The sequence below is a fragment of the Homo sapiens genome, chromosome 16 (genome assembly GCF_000001405.40).
Source record: "Homo sapiens chromosome 16, GRCh38.p14 Primary Assembly".
In the NCBI taxonomy this organism is placed as follows: domain Eukaryota; kingdom Metazoa; phylum Chordata; class Mammalia; order Primates; family Hominidae; genus Homo; species Homo sapiens.
The window spans coordinates 67,910,560-67,933,188 of NC_000016.10; the positions used below are offsets into that span (position 1 = coordinate 67,910,560).

Sequence of the window (22,629 nt, forward strand, 5' to 3'; positions counted from 1 at the left end):
CTCATTGCAGTCTCCACCTCATGGGTCCAAGTGATTCTCCTGCCTCAGCCTCCCAAGTGGCTGGGATTACAGACCTGGGATTACAGGCCCGCATCACCTCCCCCAGCTAATTTTTGTATTTTTAGTAGAGATGAGGTTTCGCGACGTTGGCCAGCCTGGTCTCGAACTCCAGACCTCAGGTCATCCGCCGGCCTTGGCCTCCCAAAGTGCTGGGATTACAGGCGTGAGCCACTGCACCTGGCCAGAAAATCTAATCTTAAAATGTTAGAATATTCTGATTCACATATTTAAGCAGCTTCTTGTGCGCCAGCAAACACTAACCTGCAGGTCACATTCAACCGCCAGGCTGTCAGTTTGTGTCTTTGGATCCATTGATAGTCCTGATGCCTCCAAAAATGTGTGAGGTTTCAGCACTGTTGGGAGCTGATGGAAGGTACAGAAAAAGTGAGGGCTGGTTGGTCCTTAGGAAGGATGCTGACTGGGTAAAAGACAAGGCTGACTGCAGGAAGCAGCAAGCATGGCAGCTGGAGCCTAGTGGTGTGCTGGGAAGGCTGTGAAGAAGAGAGTCTGTGTCGGCTTTATGTGGGAGGGAGGTGAGCTTGGCAGGATGACAAGATTTTGCCAAGGCAGTGAGAACCCCCTCTTCTAGGGGGCTCCCCATAGGGTGTTTCCTTCAGATATGGACCTGCTGAGGTGCTATCCATGCCTCTTGTAAATCTTCTGTGGAGGGGAAGGAGCTCTGGAAGCAGCTTCCTTCTGTGGCCCAGCTTTCCTCCCAGGGGTGTGGGCTGGGCCTTTTCTGGCCCCAGCCAGCATTTCCTTCAAGAGTCACCCAACAGCTGGCCAGGTGCGGTGGCTCACGCCTGTAATCCCAGCACTTTGGGAGGCCGAGACAGGTGGATTACTGGAAGTCAGGAGTTCAAGACCAGCCTGGCCAACATGGTGAAACCTCCTCTTTACTAAAAACACAAAATTAGCCGGGTGTGGCAGCGGGCACCTATAATCCCAGCTACTCGGGAGGCTGAGGCAAGAGAATCACCTAAACCCAGTAGACAGAGGTTGCAGTAAGCCAAGATTGTGCCATTGCACTCCAGCCTGGGCAAAAAGAGTGAAACTCTGTCCCCCCCAAAAAAAAAGAGTCACCCAACAGCCTCACACCACTTACTTTGCCTTTAGCACTTGAGGTCCTGTGCTGTATCACCTTCCCTGACAGCTTCTGGATGTGGCTATGGGGTCCATCGGGGACTTCCTCCTGCTGGGGAGGGGGCTGGCATTCTCTAGGGGCATCCCCATGTCATGCCTCTCAAAGGTGGCACAAGGAAGGGAGGGAAGCTTTCCTCCTGAGGCTGACTCTGTCACAGGCACAAGGGAGGGTATCTGTTTGTACCACTCTTAGGAGATCGTTGCGTAGGAGTCAGGCAGGTGGTGAAGATTTATACCAGTAACTGGGATCTGTGGGCCTAGGGGTGAAGGGGCCACTGTAGACCACTAGATGCTTACTGCAGAGTGGTCAGCCTTGTGGAGAACTCAGTCCTGGCCCACTGTCATTCTCAGATTTTATGTGGACAGGTGGGTTCTGCAGAAAATCTGGCTGTCACATGCTTATAGCACTGAGCAGTAAATGGGACCATACTGGTACTGAATGAGAGCCTGGGAAGCCAGAGAATAGTCCCTTATACTCAGTTAAAAGTCAGGAGTGCCCAACAGTGAATTAACTGTTACACTCGGGACCATTCCAGTCTAATTAGATTTGACTCAAGGCTCAGATAAAGCTTTGGGTTTGGTTCCCAGCATCATCATGGCAAGTGTGAGCTTTTGGTGTCTATGGAAGGCACTGGGAAGAGTGAGAGGAGCAGGCACAGGTGGTGATAGAGGGAACAATTTAAAGACAAGCCCCTTTATCCTGATGATGATCCCCTCAGTAACGTTGGGGCAATGCCTTGATGTTTACTTGGTTCTCAGATATGGATTGGCCATCAGGTTGGCACAATCTGTGGCTATAAACTGGCAATAAGAAATCCTCTCCCAGCCGGGTACGGTGGCTCACGCCTGTAATCCCAGCACTTTGGGAGGCCAAGGTGGGCAGATCACCTGAGGTTGGGAGTTCGAGACCAGCCTGACCAACATGGTGAAACCCCGTCTCTACTAAAAATGCAAAATTAGCCGGGCGTGGTGGCACATGCCTGTAATCCCAGCTACTCGGGAGGCTGAGGCAGGAGAATCACTTGAACCCATGAGGCAGAGGTTGCAGTGAGCCGAGATTGTGCCATTGCACTTCAGCCTGGGCAACAAGAGCGAAACTCTGTCTCAAAAAAAGAAACAAAAAAAAAGAAATCCTCTCCCAGGCTGGGCATGGTGGCTCACATTTGTAATCTCAGCACAGTTTGGGAGGCTGAGGCAGGAGGATCACCTGAAGCCAGGAGTTTGAGACCAGCCTGGGCAACATAGCGAGACCCCATCTCTTAAAAAAAATTTTTTTTAGCCAGGTGTGGGCACATGCCTGTAGTCCCAGCTACTCAGGAGGCTGAGGTGGGAGGATCACTTGAGCCCAGGAGTTCAAGGTTGCAGGGAGCTGTGAATGTGCCACTGCACTCCAGCCTGTGTGAAGACGGAGTCTTGCCCTGTTACCCAGGCTGGAGTGCAGGGGTGCGATCTTGGCTCACTGCAGCTTCCGCCTCTCAGGTTCAAGTGATTCTCCCGCCTCAGCCTCCCGAGTAGCTGGGACTACAGGCATGCGCCACCACGCACGGCTAATGTTTTGTATTTTTAGTAGAGATGGGGTTTCACCATGTTGGCCAGGCTGGTCTCAAACTCCTGACCTCAGGTGATCTGCCTGCCTTGGCCTCCCAAAGTGCTGGGGTTACAGATGTGAGCCACCACACCTGGCCAAGACCCTGTCTTAAAAAAAATTTTTTTTTTTAAAAAGCCTGTCCTGGTGTTCTGGGATAGAGCTATAAAAGCATGCCAGGTTGCTGGCAGGAGCTTGAAGGAGGTGCTGCCTCTGCTTACCAGGAGACCGTCTAGCTGTGAAGTGAGTGGCTGGAAGGAGTGATTGCTGGGTCCCATTCTAGCGATGTCTGTCCTCACCTCCATGCAGAAAAGTAAAGAGAAACCAGAGCCCTGCCAGGGAGTGGCAGAGGCTGGTACTTCTCAGACTCCTGATGTTCATACACATCCCCTGGAATCTCGTTAAAATGTAGATTCTGATTTAATAGGTCTAGGTAGGGCCTGAGGGTCTGCATTTCTAATAAACACCAGGTGGTGTTGATAACACTGACCTATAAGAACATGCTTTAGGAGCAGGTTTTTTAGGCAGGTGCCTTAAAAGTGGGCTGGGGTGGTGAGGGACAGTCTTAGAGAAGAGGGAACCTGGAATTTGGAGCATGGCTGTGAGGAGTCAGACCAAGAAAAAGGGAATGATAGCTACAGAAGTATAGGAGGGAGAAAGCAGGAGGCAGGCCTGGGGGCAATGGCCTGAGGGACAGGTTCATATATAGCTGTGGTCCGTCAGAGGACCCTGCAGGGTACTTGGGAAGTTCAGTTGTCCTAATAGCAGGCTCTGGAGAACCACGTGAAGTTGTAGCTGAAACTGAATTTTTTTTTTTTTGAGATGGAGTTTCGCTCTTGTTGCCCAGGCTGGAGTGCAATGGGGCGATCTTGGCTCACTGCAACCTACGCCTCCTGGGTTCAAGCGATTCTCCTGCCTCGGCCTCCCAAGTAGCTGGGATTACAGGCATGCGCCACCATGCCCAGATATCTAATTTTGTATTTTTAGTAGAGATGGGGTTTCTTCTTGTTGGTCAGGCTGGTCTCGAACTCCCAACCTCAGGTGATCCGCCTGCCTCAGCCTCCCAAAGTGGTGGGATTACAGGCGTGAGCCACTGTGTCCGGTCTGAATTTTTTTTTTTTCTTTGAGATGGAGTCTCGCTCTGTCGCCCAGGCTGGAGTGCAGTGGCACGATCTCAGCTCACTGCAGCCTCCACCTCCCAGGTTCCAGCGATTCTCCTGCCTCAGCCTCCCGAGTAGCTGGGATTACAGGAGTGTGCCACCATGCCCGGCTAATTTTTGTATTTTAGTAGAGACGGGGTTTCGGCATATTGGCTAGGCTGATCTTAAACTCCTGACCTCAGGTGATCTGCCCGCCTCAGCTTCCCAAAGTGCTAGGATTACAGGCGTGAGCCACCGCACCCGGTGAAACTGAAATTTTAAGATAGATCTGGGAATGTCTGAAGCTTGAGAAGCTGATTGTGTTCTGGGAGCACTGCATGGTGCCAGGCTGTTGAGGGTCCAGCTGGCAGAGGGGGCATTGAACTTAGCCCAGGAGTGAGGGAGAGAGATTTCCCAAGATACGCTGACAGAGGAAGGACTCTGCTACAAGCCTGTAGGTTTGCCTGAGTTCCTGATTCTGGCAGTCGTTGACCTGGCAGCTAATCTAATTGGAGCTTGCACAGTCTTGCTAACTGGCTATTGATTACCTGAGGGTTGGAAAATGACGAATGGGGTGGGGAGTGGGTTCCTGCCCGCTCCTACTGTAGCCGAAAGACTGGGTCCTTAGATTCTGTTGTTCTTCTGCTGGAATCACAGGGCAGGACTCTGCAGCTCACAGTGAATGAGTGAGTGAATGAGTGAGTGAGTGAGAGAGAGAGAGAGTGTGTGTGTGTGTGTGTGTGTGTGTGTGTGTGTTGGAGAGGCACTGCTCAGCCTTTGCTCCCACTACCCTTTACCTGGAGCTGAAAAGCATCAGTTTCCAGCTCCAGAGGCAAATCCTGGCAGGTTCTGGTGGCCCTTATCTGTGACCAGGAGCTTGCCTGACCCCAAAAATCAGATTCTATCACCCGCTGTGGAGAGCTCTGGGTTGGGAGGGATCCGTCTGGGACATTTCCTGGGGGAGGGGTCCTTATCATGAGATCAGGCTCTCTCAGCTGGAGAACATCCAGCAGACCCTCAGGCCCCACAAAACCTGTTGAATCAGAATCTACATTTTAATGAGATTCCAGGGGATGTGCATAAACATCAGGAGTCTGAGAAGTACCAGCCTCTGCCACTCCCTGGCAGAGCCCTGGTTTCTCTTTACTTTTCTGCATGGAGGTGAGGACAGACATCGCTAGAATGGGACCCAGCAATCACTCCTTCCAGCCACTCACTTCACAGCTAGACGGTCTCCTGGTAAGCAGAGGCAGCACCTCCTTCAAGCTCCTGCCAGCAACCTGGCATGCTTTTATAGCTCTATCCCAGGACACTAGGACAGGCATTTTTTGTTATTGTTGTTCTCCTGGCCACTGCCCACCCACAAGCACACCTGCTCACACCTGGGGAAAATGCAAGAGACGTGAAGGCCTGTTCTTCCTATCCCTAGAGGTTGAGATTGCCTGGGGAGAAGGAACTAGAATAGGGAATGGCCATAGAATGAACCCGCATTGGCAGACACATGTGAACACAGGCCTTGGCATAGAGCCACTGGGCCTGGGCAGTCTGGAACATGGACTATGGTGCTCAGGTCAGGTGGTTGGGCCCTGACCCCACCCACTCCAGCCATCTGTCCTATATGTGTAATAGGTGTTTGCCATTAGGAAGGCCATGTAAGTGAGCAAGCCTCTGCCAGGATAACCTGTGAGAGAGAGAGTGTTCCATGATGAGGGGGTTGTTGCTGTGTGAATGAAGGACCTCTGACGCAGCAGCGTTTGGAGGTATGCATTCTTCACCAGCGAGTGTCTCGTGGTGCTTGGTGCCTTTCTAGGGGCACCTTTCCTGTTCCCTGACCCCATAGAGTGCTCTCCCCTGTACACCAGGCCGGGTCTGGTGTGCCTATTTCCTGCAAGCTCTGTCCATGCAGCCCCAGTCCTCTGTCAGGCTCAGTGGCATCCATGGACTTGAATAGAAAGCTTCCTGCAGAAGATGAGTTTTGAGAAGGAGGAGGCCCAGAGAAGGGAGCATTGCTGAGTGCTCCAGAATAAACAGGAGATTGGGAGTGACAGAGCAGAGGTTGAAGAGGCTGGGGCAGGTCTGGTGTTTGTTGTTGGGAGCCCTCTGCACTGTGGGAGGAGCCCTCTGGGTTCTGGGTAATGGAGGAGGAAGGCAGCAGAAAGTGGGAATGGAGCCTGGCAGGAGGAAGGCTAGCTGGAGGCTACTGGAATAATTCCATCCTGTCCTCCTGGGGATGTTTGGGGCAGATCAGGGATCCCAGGGAGTGGGATCCACATGGCATATGTAAGCCACAGTATAGGAGGTGAAGGAGTATGGAGCAGAGTCCTAGCTCTGCAGGAGGGACATCAGCTTGTATGGGCAGACTTGGAGAGGATTCCAGGCTACCCTCTGACCTGGAGAGCATGTGGGGTCCTGCCTACCATCCTGGCACTCCAGATCCCCCAGCCTGAAGCCCATGCCCTAGACCCCACCCCACTCCCTGCACACCACAGGCCTGAGCCATTGCCCCCATTCACTCTCCACACCAAGCTTCTGCCTCAACTGTTCACGCTGCTCCCAGTATCGGTCTTAGTTGTTTCCTTTAGAAATAATGCTGCCTACTGCCATTGTGTGGTGCCCACTAAGTAGCAGACCCAGGGCTGAATGTTCTACACCCCCCATCTCCAATCTATGACAACCCTGCCAGGTGGTACGTAATCCCCCACCTTACAGATGAGGAAACTGAGGATGGTGAGGTTACATAACTTGGCCATGGTCTCCCGACTGGAGGGTGGCACATCTGGGATTTGATTCCAGGCTGTCTTGGCTTCAGAGTTCTTGGCCTGTCTAGTGCTGCAGTCTGCTCTCCCTGGTATGTGTGCCTCAGCACGTTGCTGGTTTCTTGTTTCAGTGCTTTCTGGCTGCTGATCAGTGGACACATCTCTCCTGTCTAGCCTGTAGGGTCCTTGAGGACAGCATGTACATCAATACATATGCTGTCCACTGTCGTGTCCAGGCTTAGTGCACAGTGGTACCTGTATGCTGGGTTGAACTGCAGTATTTATAAGTGATAACTGGTGGGGGAATTTTCTCTTGGCTTCTCCTGAGGGAAGCACCAGTGGCTATTGGTGATGCCCTGGGAAGCGTCCCAAATGTGACTGCTGGCAGGCAGACAGGCTGTGCAGCCAGTGGAGTGCTCCCCTCAAGGGGCCAGACTCCAGGAGGAAGCAGAGAGCCTGCTGGCAATGCGCTTAGGGGGCTGCTGGCCACAGCTGCCTGTGGGCACAGGCAGGGGGAGGATTTAAAGGCCCAGGGCTGGTGTGTGCTTGTCAACTTTTAGGGCAAATACAAGACTCTTGGAAGAGGGGTAAATGCTGAGGAGGAGATGACTGGAAAGGAAAAATCTGAATGTTTACCCAGCACCCAGAGGCACTGGAGTGGAGAGGGCACGCTGGAGTGGAGAGGGCATGCTGGAAGTGGTGGGGAGACACAGGTTGGGAGAGGTAGCGAAGGCCTGTGTGAATGTGAGAGCAGTTTGAGGACACAGTCACCTTGAGAGGCGGCTTCCTATCACAGGAGGCCTGGAGGAGCTGTTTCTAAAGGATGACACAGAAGGTGAGTCATCAGCTACAGACTCATGCTAGAGAACTGTCAGGGTCCTCCAATGCAGAGAGTCTGTGATTCACTTGACATGAAATGTGACATCCTTGATGTCAGTGCTTTTGTCAAGAGTTCTATTCCTAGAGGCAGGACGGATGAAGGGGCTCTTGTAGGATTGATATTAGAGTGATGCCATTAGGAGCTTTGCTGTCTGCTGCATTCAGCATCCTGAATTATCACCCTCCTCTGCTTGGCCAGTCTCTGAGCTGTGGGTGAGCCCAGGTGACTGTACTAGGAACAGGTGGGCTTGGGTAGAATTTCTCACAGAGCCTTGTGAGTGCTGCTGGGCAGGGGACAGAGTACTGTTGGGAGAGGAAGCCCACCTTCATAGCCACTCTGCTGCTACCTGGGTGACAAGGGCTGGTGGGAGGTGGCCTCCCAGGGTTGGGTGTCTGGTCTGCAGGTTGACCATACATTGATCTGGGGCTAAGTATACCTGAAGGGGCAATGAGCTTGACCACCTGTAGTTCTTTTTTTTTTTTTTTTTGAGATGGAGTCTTACTCTGTCGCCCAGGCTGGAGTGCAGTGGTGTGATCTCGGCTCACCAAAGCCTCCACCTTTTGGGTTCAAGCAATTCTCCTGCCTCAGCCTCCCAAGTAGCTGGGATTATAGGTGCCAGCCACCACACCTGGCTAATTTTTGTATTTTTAGTAGAGACGGGGTTTTACCACGTTGGCCAGGCTGGTCTGGAACTCCTGACCTCAGGTGATCTGCCTGCCTTGGCCTCCCAAAGTGCTGGGATTACAGGTGTGAGCCACCACACTCGACCTCCCCACTTCTTAAAGTGACTCTAACATGCCTTGGGATGTAGAAGATAAAATGAGATGCAGAGAATGTGGCATGTCTCAGTGCTCTCTAGGTGACGGGGCTTGGTTATGCAGCCTGGTCCTATGCTCTGACTTTCTGTCTCCCTCCCTGCCCCTCATCTCCCCGCATATGTCACAAGGAGCAGCCATGTGAGCAGGGATAGGACCTCATCCCAGAGTCATGGGGAGCGCTGTCCGGGTGTCTGGAGAGCAGGAGACCAAATGTATATGCTGGTGGCAGAGTGGAGGCAGGGAAGCGGGGAGCGTGTTTCCTGGCTTATGCTTGGATTCTCCTGGATGCTTTAATTGCCTGACTTTTCTCACCTTCAGTGTGGGTGGGGACTGTGATGGACCCATCAGCTCAACTCTCTTCTCACTGACCCCTGCTCCCAGAGTCAGAGGATGGCTTTCCCACGACTGTCTCAATAGCTGACAGCACGAGCAAACACAAATCAGTTTAGAATTCTTTGCTATGAGGCATCTGTCCCTAAGCCCTTCTTCCCTGCCAGCCTGCTGGGGCTGCTGCATGTCAAGTGCTGGATGCTTGTGCTGTCTGTGTGTGAGGATCCCATGAGGATGATCAGATGCCCCCATACCTGGCCAGGAAGGTTCCCTTGGGAAAAGCCATCCCCACTTCACCAAAACACGAAGTGTTCAACAGATTAAGTCTCCCTCCTTCACTGCAGGAGCCAATGCCCTCAGGCTGGATTCCTGACTAGTCACTGGGAGGTGGCATGGTTTGGGCCACTGGATGGAGGCAGTGGACCCTCAGTTGGTCACTGTGGCTGGGGACCTGCCCTTGGTTGGAGACCTCTGGCAGGAAGGCAGAGGAAGCTCTCTCCATGTGAGGCCAGAGGAAGCTCTGAGTGGAGAAGAGCAGCAGCCCCATCTTGTGTCACCTCTGTGCCACCACTGGGCTCCCCAGAGCCCTGTCCTCTAGGTTTCCCTTTGTCACTGCTGCCCTGGTTGCATACACCCCAGAAAGCAGCAACTTCCCTGTAGTGGCAGGAGCAGACCCACCCGCCACGCTGCTGCATTCAGCCGTTCCTGCTGACCACCCATAGCATCACGTCACCCTGGGTCACAGCTGCCTTTCATCACTTTTTCCACCTCCAGCCCTTGAGGCCTGGCCAACAAAGAGCAGGGTGTGGTGGCTTGCACTCAGAGCCATCCCTGGTGCGTCAGCCATCCCCTCCCTCTCCTGTCTTTTCATTGTCTGTCTCCACCTGGAGAGCACTGCCTTTCACAGGCTCTGTCGCTTCTGGGCCCTCAAGTTCCTCTGGGAGCTGCTGGACTGTATCTCTCCCACATTCTGACCTCTTTATTTATTTATTATTATTTTTTAATAGAGACAAGGTCTTGTTGTAGAGGAACAAGAGTTGGAGTGCAGTAGTGTGATTATAGTTCATTGTAACCTTAAACTCCCGGGCCCAAACCATCTTCCTGCCTCAGCCTTCCGAGTAGCTGGGATTACAGGTGTGGGCCACCACACCGGGCTAATTTTTTAGGTTTCTTGTAGAGATAGGGTCTATGTTGCCTAGCCTGGTCTTGAACTCCTGGCCTCAAGTGATCCTCCTGCCTCGGCCTCCCAAAGTGCTGAGATTAAAGGCGTGAGCCACTGTGCCCAGCCCTGACCTCTTTAGATCCACTCATAGCATCCCATGCTCATCCTCCTCCCACACCTACTGAGGTGGAGGCTGGCTCTCAATTGCATGGCATAGCTGATGGTGACCTGGTCCAGCCATCCTCACTGGCTGTGCCTCTCCAAGCTCACCTTCCCTAGTCAGTCCTCCCATCACACAAGGTTACCCTTCTCCATCGTGCCTGACGTCCCTCGGTAGATGTGTGGTGCCCAGAGAGCTCTGCTCCCTTGTGGCCCAGCCAGCTTGGAGCAGAAGGCTTAGTCACATTCATCTCTTCATTCTTCCTCCATCCCATATTGACCTACCACTGGCCCTAAGCCTGGGGTTCCAGGGACAGAGACTGCAGTGTGGATGAGATGGTTACAGTCACTGAGCCTCCAAACTGCCTCAGAAATTAGGATGGGAGGAAGTTAAAAAAAAAAAAAAAGGCTGGGCACGGTGGCTCACACCTGTAATCTCAGCCCTTTGGGAGGCCAAGGTGGGTGGCATCTGAGATCAGGAGTTTGAGACCGACCTGACCAACATGGTGAAACCTCATCTCTACTAAAAATACAAAATTAGCTGGGCATTGTGGTGCATGCCTGTAATCCCAGCTACTTGGGAGGCTGAGGCAGGAGAATTGCTTGAACCCAGGAGGTAGAGTTTGCAGTGAGATGGTTCCATTGCACTCCAGCCTGGGCAACAAGAGCAAAACTCCGTCTCAAAAAAAGAAAAAAAAAATAATGCCAGGTGCTGTGGCTCACGCCTGTATCCCAGCACTTTGGGAGGCCGAGGCGGGCAGATCTTGAGGTCAGGAGATCAAGACTATCCTGGCTAACACGGTGAAACACCGTCTCTACTAAAAATACAAAAAATTAACCAGGCATGGTGGCATGCACCTGTAGTCCCATCTACTTGGGAGGCCGAGGCAGGAGAATCGGTTGAACCTGGGAGGCGGAGTTGCAGTTAGCTGAGATTGCACATCGCGCCACTGCACTCCAGCCTGGGTGACAGAGTGAGACTCTGTCTCTCTTAAAAAAAAAAACAAAAACAAAAATCAAAAAACCAGGCTGGGCCCTGGGAACCACTTGGCCTCAGCGGAACCCTTGATGAGTGTAGATAAAAGAGATCACGCTGCAGCAGGCTTCTAAATCTGGAACCTTCCAGGGCTACTCCAGGACATTGTTAAAAGCAGACATCGCTATGTTGGTGGCACAGGCCTATTGCAAAGCGAGCAAATAGCATCCTTCTCGATCTTGAGTTGTGTCCTGTCTCTCTCCTCTCCTTCCCCTCCACTCTGGCTCTGGGCAGGGACAGGTGGGGGCACACGATTTCATTTTGTTATCCATTTCAAGTTTCAGAACACAGCTTTACTAACCTTTAAGTTGTCACACCTTTTCTCATTTTAATCTTTATTCTCTGCTTTTTTTTTTTTAATTCTCTACTTGTTTTTAAAACTGCATTATCTTCCCTCTATTTCTCTCCTCAGGCTCTCTCCCCCCACACCCTTCCCTTTTCTGTTGCTTGCCCCTCACCCGCCCTCTGCCGAGTCCCAGGGTGGTAGATTCTGTCTGGTCTGGAAGCCCAGGCACCAGGATGATGGGTTTTTGACCACAGGAGGGGATGCTGGCTCTGCTGCCACACAGTGTCTAATTCTGCTGATGCTCTTCGTCGTGGGCAGCATGACAGGGTGCCGTTCTTGTTGTCATGCTGCTTTCCTGAGTAAACTCAAAGCTCTGTTTCCAGAATTTCCTCTGTGCCCTTTTCTCTGCTCTCATTCAGGCCCACGTAAGTACAGAAAGGAGGCCTTTGAAGGTGGGAATAGTGGGTCTGAAAATACATCTTGAAATAGAGCTGAGGGAAGAACTGAGTCATGGTAGCAAAGCCCAGGCTTCTTCCTCCCTTCCCATCCCTTCTCTAGAAGCACTGTGGTGGGGCCACCTCCTCTGTCAGCCAGCCTGCCCCAGAATCATCATTGGTTAGATAAGGAACCCAGGGCTCAAGAGGTCAGCTTAAATGCTAAACTCTGCGCTTCACATGTGGCCACGTGAAGGAAAAGGTGGAGAAAAAGGAATCCAGGAGTTTATAAACTGGAAGGGACTTAGAGTTCATGACATTCAGCCCCTTCCTCGTGTTAAAAGTGAAGGCGGTGTGATTTCTCTAAGGCCGACAGAGAAGGTAGAACTAGAACTCAGGTTGCTGGGCTTGCAATCTAACCCTTTAACGTATCCCAGATGCCACTCAGAAGACACACCAAGGGGCCTTTCTCTCCCAGCCTCACTTGCCAGTAGGCAGCCCTGCCTGCCAGAGGAAGTCTAGGGCCGCCCTGTAAGCTGTGTTTGCTGCCAGAAAGAAGCAGCTTCCTCCTCTGTCTGCAGCCTCTGCTAGAGAGCTGGCGCTGTTCTTTGTTTCATTAGCCCTTAGGCTCCAGGTGAGACCGCTGGCAGTGGCTTGGGTAGTGTTCATGCCAGGCCCTTGTGCCAGACATTAGAGCTAGAGCAAACGAAAAGGGTTGGTGCGGGGGGTCCTCAGGCGGGAGCGGAAAGCCCTTCCTGCTGTGCTGCCTCTCCCTCTCCAGGGGGAGTAGGACTCCACTGCCTAGGAGTGGCTTTGGCCCAGCATGGGTAGGGGGATGAGGAAGGCTAGTTGGTAAGGAGGTGCTCACGGAAGAGGTCGCTTCCCATACCCATTATTGGCATCTTTGCTGTTCCAACATCAGGAGCAGGTACCCTAACTGCAAGGGGAAAAGGACTCTTTTGAGGGCCATGGACTCAGGAGGAAGGCAGCCAGCTTGATGGTCAGAATCAGAGCAGAGGTGATGCCCTCCTCCTACAGCCCCTGCTTGTCTTCCTCTTGAAGCAGGACCCAGCCCTCACTCACGCAGCAGTGTCTCGAAGTGCTGGGATTAGAGGTGTGAGCCACTGACTTGCCCAGAGACTGTGGAAAGGAGAGAGTGGAGGCTGTCACCCTGGGTATGGAAGCTGTTCTCTGATCCCAGAGCAAGGGAAGACCTGAGAGTCTGGGCGTAGAGCCAGCTGACATCTTAGTGTTTCCCTCTGTGCCTCGTGCTCCACGTCGGCCCAGAAGCAGGTGGAAGCCTCAGAGACTGCCCAGGTGGGTCTTGGCACCTGTGCCATCTGTCAGCCAACTGAGGCCATGTGTGTCCCTGGTATGGCTCAAATAAGTATACTGAGGCACGAGTTCAGTTCTTCACCTAGAACAAACAGAGTTGTGGAGACTGAAGAGCATGACTATTCATCATTTTCCCTTTTCTCCTGCTTAGAATGCTTCCCAGCCAGTCAGCCCTTGGCTGACACACATACTTACGTGGCTCCAGGGGAAGCAGGTGGGTTGGGCTGCTGGCGTTGAGTGCTTTCTTAGGAGGTGCTGAGTTGATGTGAGGCCTGAAGCCTGGCTGTGGGCGAGTGTGGAAAGCCTTACTTTTCTAAGCCCTGTGGGAGGCCTCAGCAGGGCTTCCAGAGGCTGCTATTCTGAAGGTCACCCTAAGCCCCTGCCTCACTGTCAGCTGGATGAGGACCACCTTCTTGTGTTCAGCCTGACTTTCCTCTGTGTACAAGGGTTAGGCTGGGGACCAGTTCAGGACGACTTGAGTCACTTTGGCTTGGGGGACCCACCTGGCCTAGCTGCTCACAGCTCTTCAAAGATGGGAAGAGCTGGGACCTGCCAGAGAGGCCAGGCCAGCCCTCAGACAAATGAGTCCATCTGCATTCTGCGCACAGCCACATGCCCACAGTAATTGGTGAGGCGAGAATCTTGGGGAGCAGCGGGGAGAGGGATCAATCTGGCTCGCTTTGGCACTAACAGGCCGGCCGCTCCATGAGCAGCAGGGGTTGATGCCTGCTGGTGTGAGCCTGTGCCACTCTGAAGATGGAGACACTTAAGACCATAGGGCTGGTCTGGGGAGAGGCCCCTCCAAGACTGCACTGGTGACTGGTTTGGAGTTTCAGGTCCACGGTTTCGCTGGGTGTGGATGTGAAGTGGTGAAACCTCCAGTCCATCCATGTTCAGGCTCCTGGCCTCTGTAGGGGAGTTGCCCCTCTTTTGTCTTGGCTGGACCAAGGGGCAGGGGCAGAATCCATTTCCCAGCCCTGTTGGGACACCCTGGGCTGTCAGCCCTGTCTTGGGGCTGTTCCAGCAACAGGCCAGACTGAGCTGCAGCCTGCTTCCTAGTGAGTCCTCCTCTTCCTGGAGACTGTAGAAGGCCAGCAGGCAGCAGAGGTGTCCCCTGACCCACTCTGTTCAGCTGTGTGTGTGCTGTCTCCATCAAGCTTCTTTCTGTCTCTCCGGTGGGTGATGGGGGCTACAGTGAATGTCTGTGGTCTGGACTGGCTGCCCCCAGTAGTGGTTCCTTGTGTTCAGGAGGCAACCATGGAGCTTTCTTTTTTAAAAAAAAATTTATTAATTTTTTTTTTTCTTTGAGGCGGAGTCTTACCATCTTTCCCAGGGTGATCTTGAACTCTTGGGCTCAAGCAGTCCTCCTGCCTCAGACTCCCAGAGTGTTGGGATTATAGGCGGAAGCCACTGCTCCTGGCTTTTGGGGTTTTCTTGAGCTGTGATCCAAAAGCTATTGTGGCAGCTGTCTAGTCCAGTTGCCCTGCATATTGGCCTTAATACCTCAATATGAATATTTTTTTTTTTTTTTTGAGACGGAGTCTCGCTCTGTTGCCAGGCTGGAGTGCAGTGGTGCGATCTTGGCTCACTGCAACCTCCGCCTCTCAGGTTCAAGCAATTCTCCTGCCTCAGCTTCCTGAGTAGCTGGGACTACAGGCACGCCACCACGCCCGACTAATTTTTGTATTTTTAGTAGAGACGGGGTTTCACCATGTTGGCCAGGATGGTCTTGATCTCATGACCTTGTGATCCACCTGCCTCAGCCTCCCAAAGTGCTGGGATTACAGGCATGAGCCACCACGCCTGGCCCTCAATATGAATCTTGAACTACACAAGCCCCCAGGAGACTTACCTGCCTGTCGGGGAGGGCTGTTGCTCTCTGCGCCCACCCACAGCCCTTGGATAGTAAGGCATCTATGGGCCTTCGTTGGCTGCATGCTCCTGGACCCTGACTTTCCTCCTCCTGGGGGCCAGCATCTCCCCAGGAGTCACTGGGTGCTGCTGGCCCACTGATGAGGATGACCCTGTTAGGTGTGTTTGGGAATATGGTTCCCCTGTTGCTCCCACTTCAGCTCAGTAAAACTTGGAATAACCTTCCAAAGAGTGGGTGAAGACAGCAGCTGCAGGTAGCCCCAGGCCTTCCTCAGGACGGTGGAAGCGTGTTCTCCCTGCCTCATCCCTCTGTGGCAGTGGGGAAGGGGGTAGGGAAAGAGTTGGAGGTCAGGCGAGCCAGACTGGGAGTAGCAGTAGTCAGTGAGTGTGTGTGTCTGCTAGATGGCTGTGCACCTGCCCTGAAGGTGGTCTCTCAGATCCTCCTGAACCCCCTGGAGGGCATGTTCAGGGGTTCCTCAAGGTGAAGGGTACCATGGGTGGTGAAGGGTACCATGGGTGGAACAGGCAGACCTCACCTGGCAGGAAGGAAAGTGAGGGGATCGTTAGCATCCCTGTTGAGTCATCTGCAGCAGGCTCAGGAAAGGTCCTAGCTGCCTATCCTTGGGGGAGCCTCAGAGCCCGTGCCAGAAGTGTTCCTAGGAGATGCAGGGACGCAAGGACTCACCTGGCTGAGCCCCAAGGCCTGGAAGCAGCTCCAGGAAAGGGCACCCATCCGGCAGCACCGTGGGTTGTTTACTGTCTGAGCCTGTGCCTACTGAGTGCTTCCTGTATGCGCAGCACCAGGCACGGGCTCATCCAGCTCAGCATGATCTCATGGGAATACTAAACGAACATGAAATTGCAGTCTCACGTTACAGCTGGAATAATTGCTGGAAGCACTGGGGGCTAAGAGGGAGTCTGAGCAAGTGTCCTTTACCCTGAGAACCTGAGGATCCAGTCAGGTGAAGACAGCCGTACAACCTGAGGCCCTGAGACAGACAGCTGCTGGGTTCGGGGCTGAGATGAGGCAGCCCGGGGTGCATGTGGCAGAGTGGGCTTTATGGAGTTCCTCCCAGGGGACAGAATGTACTAAAATGAGGCTGGCGCACAGCACTGCCAGGAGCCCTTTGTGGCTTAGAGAAGTAATGCGGGCCAGAGGGTGCCACTGAGAAGGGTCCTGGTTCCTTCCTGGTCCCGGGATCGCCTGCCCTCAGCCGACTGGGAAATCTAGTTGCCTTGAATTGTTTCCTTTCCTCCCCATGCCGGGAGGCAGAGGCAGGGAGCAGTGGTCTTCTGCCACTGCTTCGGCAGTTGGAGAGAGGTTGGATCTTCTCTGTAAGGACTAGGAAGTTCCCCTTTAAGTAGCCTGATCCTGGTCATCCAGAGATTGGAGCTTCAATCTGACTTAGGATGTGGTGGGAAAGTTTGAATCATTCTCTAACAGTCCCCTGAGTTATGATACTCCTGGGACAAGTTCGGGGGGGTCTTGGCAGAGGCCATCTCCCTGAGCCAGGCTTTGGGTCCAGTGCACCATAGAATTTGCTCCCTGGGAGAGTGCACAGGTCCTTTCCTTCCTTGCCAGACTCCATCACCTGGAGAGCAGCCCTTGTTCAGCCTGAGCCAGCGTTGGGCGGGGAGGCCCCAAGTGCTACATGAGAGGAGGGGCAGCACCTCTCTCTGGAAAGGGGAGGGTTGCTGAGTAGTGGCCTCATCCAGATGGGGTGGGCAGTGTCAGATGCTCTCACTCTAATGCTTGTCCTTGGTCTCTAGCCCTGGCCTAGTGTGTCCAACCTGGCCAAGGACTTCATTGACCGCCTGCTGACAGTGGACCCTGGAGCCCGTATGACTGCACTGCAGGCCCTGAGGCACCCGTGGGTGGTGAGCATGGCTGCCTCTTCATCCATGAAGAACCTGCACCGCTCCATATCCCAGAACCTCCTTAAACGTGCCTCCTCGCGCTGCCAGAGCACCAAATCTGCCCAGTCCACGCGTTCCAGCCGCTCCACACGCTCCAATAAGTCACGCCGTGTGCGGGAACGGGAGCTGCGGGAGCTCAACCTGCGCTACCAGCAGCAATACAATGGCTGAGCCGCCTGGCTGTGCACACATGCAGCACGACCCAGCCTGGCCACACACTGTGGTGCCATCTGGGTCCGATGCCCTCTCTGGAGATAGGCCTATGTGGCCCACAGTAGGTGAAGAATGTCTGGCTCCAGCCCTTTCTCTGTGCCTTCAGCAGCCCCTGTCCTCACCATGGGCCTGGGCCAGGTGTGACAGAGTAGAGGTAGCACAGGGGGCTGTGACTCCCCCTGAACTGGGAGCCTGGCCTGGCACTGATACCCCTCTTGGTGGGCAGCTGCTCTGGTGGAGTTGGGAAGGGATAGGACCTGGCCTTCACTGTCTCCCTTGCCCTTTGACTTTTCCCCAATCAAAGGGAACTGCAGTGCTGGGTGGAGTGTCCTGTGGCCTCAGGACCCTTTGGGACAGTTACTTCTGGGACCCCCTTTCCTCCACAGAGCCCTTCTCCCTGGTTTCACACATTCCCATGCATCCTGATCCTTAAGATTATGCTCCAGTGGGAGACCCTGGTAGGCACAAAGCTTGTGCCTTGACTGGACCCGTAGCCCCTGGCTAGGTCGAAACAGCCCTCCACCTCCCAGCCAAGATCTGTCTTCCTTCATGGTGCCTCCAGGGAGCCTTCCTGGTCCCAGGACCTCTGGTGGAGGGCCATGGCGTGGACCTTCACCCTTCTGGACTGTGTGGCCATGCTGGTCATCGGCTTGCCCAGGCTCCAGCCTCTCCAGATTCTGAGGGGTCTCAGCCCACCGCCCTTGGTGCCTTCTTTGTAGAGCCCACCGCTACCTCCCTCTCCCCGTTGGATGTCCATTCCATTCCCCAGGTGCCTCCTTCCCAACTGGGGGTGGTTAAAGGGAGCCCCACTGCTGCTACCTGGGGAATGGGGCACCTGGGGGCCAAGGCAGAGGGAAGGGGGTCCTCCCGATTAGGGTCGAGTGTCAGCCTGGGTTCTATCCTTTGGTGCAGCCCCATTGCCTTTTCCCTTCAGGCTCTGTTGCTCCCTCCTCTGCAGCTGCACGAAGGCGCCATCTGGTGTCTGCATGGGTGTTGGCAGCCTGGGAGTGATCACTGCACGCCCATCGTGCACACCTGCCCATCGTGCACACCCACCCATGGTGCACACCTGTAGTCCTCCATGAGGACATGGGAAGGTAGGAGTTGCCGCCCTGGGGGAGGGTCCCGGGCTGCTCACCTCTCCCCTTCTGCTGAGCTTCTGCGCACCCCTCCCTGGAACTTAGCCATACTGTGTGACCTGCCTCTGAAACCAGGGTGCCAGGGGCACTGCCTTCTCACAGCTGGCCTTGCCCCGTCCACCCTGTGCTGCTTCCCTTCACAGCATTAACCTTCCAGTCTGGGTCCCACTGAGCCTCAAGCTGGAAGGAGCCCCTGCGGGAGGTGGGTGGGGTTGGGTGGCTGCTTTCCCAGAGGCCTGAGCCAGAACCATCCCCATTTCTTTTGTGGTATCTCCCCCTACCACAAACCAGGCTGGAACCCAAGCCCCTTCCTCCACAGCTGCCTTCAGTGGGTAGAATGGGGCCAGGGCCCAGCTTTGGCCTTAGCTTGACGGCAGGGCCCCTGCCATTGCAGGAGGGTTTGGTTCCCACTCAGCTTCTGCCGGTCGGCAGCCTGGGCCAGGCCCTTTTCCTGCATGTGCCACCTCCAGTGGGAAACAAAACTAAAGAGACCACTCTGTGCCAAGTCGACTATGCCTTAGACACATCCTCCTACCGTCCCCAATGCCCCCTGGGCAGGAGGCAGTGGAGAACCAAGCCCCATGGCCTCAGAATTTCCCCCCAGTTCCCCAAGTGTCTCTGGGGACCTGAAGCCCTGGGGCTTACGTTCTCTCTTGCCCAGGGTGGGCCTGGTCCTGAGGGCAGGACAGGGGGTTTGGAGATGTGGGCCTTTGATAGACCCACTTGGGCCTTCATGCCATGGCCTGTGGATGGAGAATGTGCAGTTATTTATTATGCGTATTCAGTTTGTAAACGTATCCTCTGTATTCAGTAAACAGGCTGCCTCTCCAGGGAGGGCTGCCATTCATTCCAACAGTTCTGGCTTCTTGCTGTAGGACCAAGGGGTTGCCCTGGAGGAGGGGTGGGGGCCCCGGCCTCGGCATGGCTACTCTAGGAAGAGCCACTGCTACTCAAGGAGTCACTCAGCCCCTTCTGTGCCAGAAGTCCAAGTAGGGAGTCGGACCCTCAACAGCCTCTTCTTTCTCCTGAGCCAGGAAGACAGACATGAATGCATGATGGGACAGGGCCTGGGTCTTTAATGGGTTGAGCTGGGGAGGGCCTGTGGTGAGCTCAGTTGTAGGCTATGACCTGGTTGATCCAGGTGCTGAACTTGCTAACTCGAGTATACACAGCAGGTGCGCGCACATTGCAGTTTTTGGTGCCCCAGGAGACAATACCAATAAGCACCCATGTGTTTCCCTTCTGGCAGACAAGAGGGCCTCCGGAGTCACCCTGAGAGGGAAGAGGGAGGGAGAATTGAGTAGGGGGGGTTGGGGAGGTATACCACAGGACAGCGCAGAGGAGCGGGTGCTGGGGCTTACCTGGCACGAGGAGGCACCTGCGCCACCTGCACAGATCATGGAGTCAGTGATACTTGAGCCCCAGTACTGCCGGCACTGATTCACAGTGACCAGGGGCAAAGCCACCTGCTGCAGATGTGCTGGTGTCACATTGCCTGTGGGCCAGGAGGGGTGGTCACATGGGGCCCAGAACACTGGTCCCCACCCCAGTCCTCCCACCCTGAGCTTTGGCCTGAGTCCCTACCCACGCCACTGAGGCGACCCCAGCCGGTGGTGACACACGTGAGGCCTTCAGTCAGAGCCTCGTTTGAGGATGCCAGGCAAACTGGCGAGATGCGTGTTGTGTACTGGGCTGGCGAGGCGAGCTTCAGCAGCGTCACGTCATTGTTCATGGTGGTAGAGTTCCAGCTAGGGTGTGTAATGGCCTGTGGGGTCAGAAACAGTCCATGTTCTGATGGGTGCTGAGCAGGGTAGGCCAGGGCATGTCCTGAATTCCTCGTTCCCAGCACCCACCCACCTGCACTGCCCACTTTTCCTCCGTGTCTGCAGCCCAGGCACTCACCCGAGAGACGGACAGAACCTGCAAGGGCTCTGCGTTTGATGATCGGTCATACTCGCCCAGGACAACAAAATGGCGGCCAGGGCTGCAAGGGGGTGGGATTAGGCAGCTGCAGGGAGGCCAGCGCGAGAGGGGGACAGCCAGGGGAGGAGGCAGGAAGAGGCGAGGGGCGGGGCAGGTGGAATGCAGGCACTCACCTGACATTGCAGTGGGCAGCAGTGACCACCCAGGACTGGCTGATGAGAGAACCACCGCAGAAGTGGAAGCCGCTGCTGTCCTGTGGTCAGGGCTCAGAGGTCAGAGTGGGGGTGGGCTGCTGAGGCTGCCCCTAGGCATGACGTACCCAGGACCCTGCCCACCCCTCTGGTGGTGTACCTGCAGGGACACCTGCCAGGGCCAGGAGCCCAACACTGCATTCTCCCCGTTGACAATCCTCTGGCTGAAGCTCAGTGCCGGTTTGATGGCAGGAATGCCGCAGCCTGGCCATTGGGCTAATGAGGACCTGCTTCCCATGCCTCAGCCCATCTTTCCCCACCTCCTTTTGGGTGCCCCAGGCTGTGCACCCCAGAGAGGTCTGTCGAGAGGGTACAGCACTACCCCTTCCCCAACAGGGTACATGCAAGCACCTTCGGGCCCCACAGCTATCTTGGTTATCCCTATCCACCCAGTCCCCCAGCCCTGCTGTTCTCCTACATCTGTCTCCAGCCTAGTCCCCGCTGTTCCCCATCTCTACCCCTGGTCTCTCTGCCCCCTCCCGACCTGAACAGTTCATACCCTTCATGCAGCCAGAAGGTTCTTTCTAAAAGACATGGACAGGTCTTCCTGTCTCAGCTTCCTAAACCCTCCCGGGCTCCAGGGCCTGGCTCAATCTCTGGTCCTATTTGTGAGACCACCCCACCTCTTGCCCCCTCCCAGCCCTGCAGGCCTGTTCCCTGCTCCACTGCCCTGGCATATCCTGTTTCTTTTGCCCACTCTGTCCACCTTCGTCCCTTCCAGCCAGCCTAGCTCCTTCCCTGGGCTGTTGCTGGGAGCTGAGTTGCTCCCAGGGCTGAATCAGGGCTGGTCCTGGCCCACTCACCCCAGGAGGAGCCGAGGAGAACCAGGCTTAGGGTCAGGCTGAGCAGCAACATCGTGGCAGATGTGAGGTTGGGAGCTGGGTCTGGCTTTATGGGTCTTCTCGTCCTTGAGCTAAAGCTCCAGGCCTGAGGCCAGGCCAGCTGTGTAGACTCAGCCCCCTCCCACGCTCCAGGCAAGACAGGCCCTTTAGGCCAAGGTCCCCTGACCGAGACCTAGACTTATCAGACAGAGCCCAGGTGTGAGACTCACCTCTGCCACCTCCCAAAGCCTGGCCTCTAATTGGCTCCCAGAACCACCTCCCATTCCAAATGTTGAGCCCTCGGTACTGAGGACAGATGGTTAAATTAGGTCTATAGTGACAACCTGGTGGCTGGGATCACAGGAGTCACCCAGGGCTAACAAAGGCACCAGGCTTTCAGAGAAGGCCGCTCAGCGTCCAGGGTGTTCTGACTGGTGGATGGAATGCTCACTGCGGTCAACTTTGCTGTGAAGGGCCAGGGGCTGTGAGGTTCTGGCAGGCTGGGAGTCCTAACACATCATCGCAGTGGTTCCTCGTCCATTTGGAACAGGAGTCACAGGTCTGCTCAGAGATGGTGACTCTCCCACCAGCACGTGGTTGAGTTGTACACAAACTCGCATTTGTCTGGCGCTGAAGCCTCCGCTCTTAACAATGAGATGATACTTATGAAGGGCCTGGCATTTAGGAGGGCAAAGTGTGAGCTCTTGGTGCCTGGCCGACCGTGGACTGAGGCTGCAGGTGGAGAGTGACAGACATCAAATCTCTGCCACCCTCTTTAGGCCTTGGGGCTCCCATGGGCAAGCCCCTGGTGTCTGTAGCCCATTTGTTACTGAGCTGCAGACCAAGCTTGAAGGGAGAAGACACCCTGTGTGCAAAGTTCCAACAGGTGCATTGGCTGGCGGCCTTCTGGGAGTGTGAGGGCTTTAACTGATTCAAGAACAGATCAGGGCTGGGTGTGGTGGCTCACACCTGTAATCCCAAAACTTTGGGAGGCAGACGTAGGAGGCTTGATTCCAGGAGTTCGAGACCAGCCTGAGCAACATCATGAAACCCTGTCTCTACAAAAAAAATTTTTTTAAATTAAGAAATGAGCTGGGTATGATGGTACACACCTGTAGTCCCAGCAACTCAGAAGGCTGAGGCAGGAGGGATCACTTGAGCCCTTAAGTTCAAGGCTGCAGTGAGCCATGAGTGCACCACTGCATTCCGGCCTGGGCGATGGAGCTAGACCCCATCTCAAAGAAACAGCATCAGCCAAAAAATGAGATGAATTGGCTGGGCACGGTGGCTCACGCCTGTAATCCCAGCACTTTGGGAGGCCGACGCGGGCGGATCATGAGGTCAGGAGATCAAGACCATCCTGGCTAACA

The 22,629-nt window shown here is 54.7% G+C and overlaps 2 protein-coding genes across 2 annotated transcripts in view, besides 6 other annotated features; one reads left to right on the plus strand and one right to left on the minus strand.

The window, feature by feature from the left end:
* Nucleotides 1-19,117, plus strand: part of PSKH1 (protein serine kinase H1) — a 36,423-nt gene extending 17,306 nt beyond the window's left edge. The window contains exon 3 of the mRNA NM_006742.3: nt 16,766-19,117. Coding sequence (NP_006733.1) covers nt 16,766-17,083 — 318 coding nt within the window. The 3' untranslated portion in view covers nt 17,084-19,117. The remainder of the gene's footprint in view (nt 1-16,765) is intronic.
* Nucleotides 5,157-5,680: an enhancer, noted in NCBI's record as "H3K27ac-H3K4me1 hESC enhancer chr16:67949619-67950142 (GRCh37/hg19 assembly coordinates)". NCBI's record gives its function as "activates a minimal SCP1, AML or CMV promoter by ChIP-STARR-seq in naive H9 embryonic stem cells {active_cell/tissue: H9 hESC(naive)}" and the evidence as "EXISTENCE:reporter gene assay evidence [ECO:0000049][PMID:30033119]".
* Nucleotides 8,833-9,338: an enhancer, noted in NCBI's record as "H3K27ac-H3K4me1 hESC enhancer chr16:67953295-67953800 (GRCh37/hg19 assembly coordinates)". NCBI's record gives its function as "activates a minimal SCP1, AML or CMV promoter by ChIP-STARR-seq in primed H9 embryonic stem cells {active_cell/tissue: H9 hESC(primed)}" and the evidence as "EXISTENCE:reporter gene assay evidence [ECO:0000049][PMID:30033119]".
* Nucleotides 16,413-16,914: an enhancer, noted in NCBI's record as "H3K4me1 hESC enhancer chr16:67960875-67961376 (GRCh37/hg19 assembly coordinates)". NCBI's record gives its function as "activates a minimal SCP1, AML or CMV promoter by ChIP-STARR-seq in primed H9 embryonic stem cells {active_cell/tissue: H9 hESC(primed)}" and the evidence as "EXISTENCE:reporter gene assay evidence [ECO:0000049][PMID:30033119]".
* Nucleotides 18,287-18,997: an enhancer, noted in NCBI's record as "H3K4me1 hESC enhancer chr16:67962749-67963459 (GRCh37/hg19 assembly coordinates)". NCBI's record gives its function as "activates a minimal SCP1, AML or CMV promoter by ChIP-STARR-seq in naive and primed H9 embryonic stem cells {active_cell/tissue: H9 hESC(naive and primed)}" and the evidence as "EXISTENCE:reporter gene assay evidence [ECO:0000049][PMID:30033119]".
* Nucleotides 19,015-21,303, minus strand: CTRL (chymotrypsin like). The gene is made up of 7 exons (NM_001907.3): nt 21,242-21,303; nt 20,539-20,642; nt 20,361-20,440; nt 20,167-20,248; nt 19,849-20,029; nt 19,626-19,759; nt 19,015-19,536 (listed from the first exon to the last, which is right to left on the minus strand). The coding sequence occupies exons 1-7, from the start codon at nt 21,291-21,293 to the stop codon at nt 19,375-19,377; spliced, it is 795 nt and encodes a 264-aa protein (NP_001898.1). The 5' UTR covers nt 21,294-21,303; the 3' UTR covers nt 19,015-19,374.
* Nucleotides 19,760-20,277: an enhancer, noted in NCBI's record as "H3K4me1 hESC enhancer chr16:67964222-67964739 (GRCh37/hg19 assembly coordinates)". NCBI's record gives its function as "activates a minimal SCP1, AML or CMV promoter by ChIP-STARR-seq in primed H9 embryonic stem cells {active_cell/tissue: H9 hESC(primed)}" and the evidence as "EXISTENCE:reporter gene assay evidence [ECO:0000049][PMID:30033119]".
* Nucleotides 20,278-20,794: an enhancer, noted in NCBI's record as "H3K4me1 hESC enhancer chr16:67964740-67965256 (GRCh37/hg19 assembly coordinates)". NCBI's record gives its function as "activates a minimal SCP1, AML or CMV promoter by ChIP-STARR-seq in primed H9 embryonic stem cells {active_cell/tissue: H9 hESC(primed)}" and the evidence as "EXISTENCE:reporter gene assay evidence [ECO:0000049][PMID:30033119]".

Excerpts from the sequence above, each read along its gene's own strand:
- CTRL (NM_001907.3), bottom strand. The coding sequence starts at position 21,293 with ATGTTGCTGCTCAGCCTGACCCTAAGCCTGGTTCTCCTCGGCTCCTCC. Across the intron at positions 19,760-19,848 it reads GGGTCGCCTCAGTGGCGTGG|GCAATGTGACACCAGCACAT; the intron begins GTAGGGACTCAG and ends CCTGGCCCACAG. Across the intron at positions 19,537-19,625 it reads CAGGTGCCTCCTCGTGCCAG|GGTGACTCCGGAGGCCCTCT; the intron begins GTAAGCCCCAGC and ends CTTCCCTCTCAG.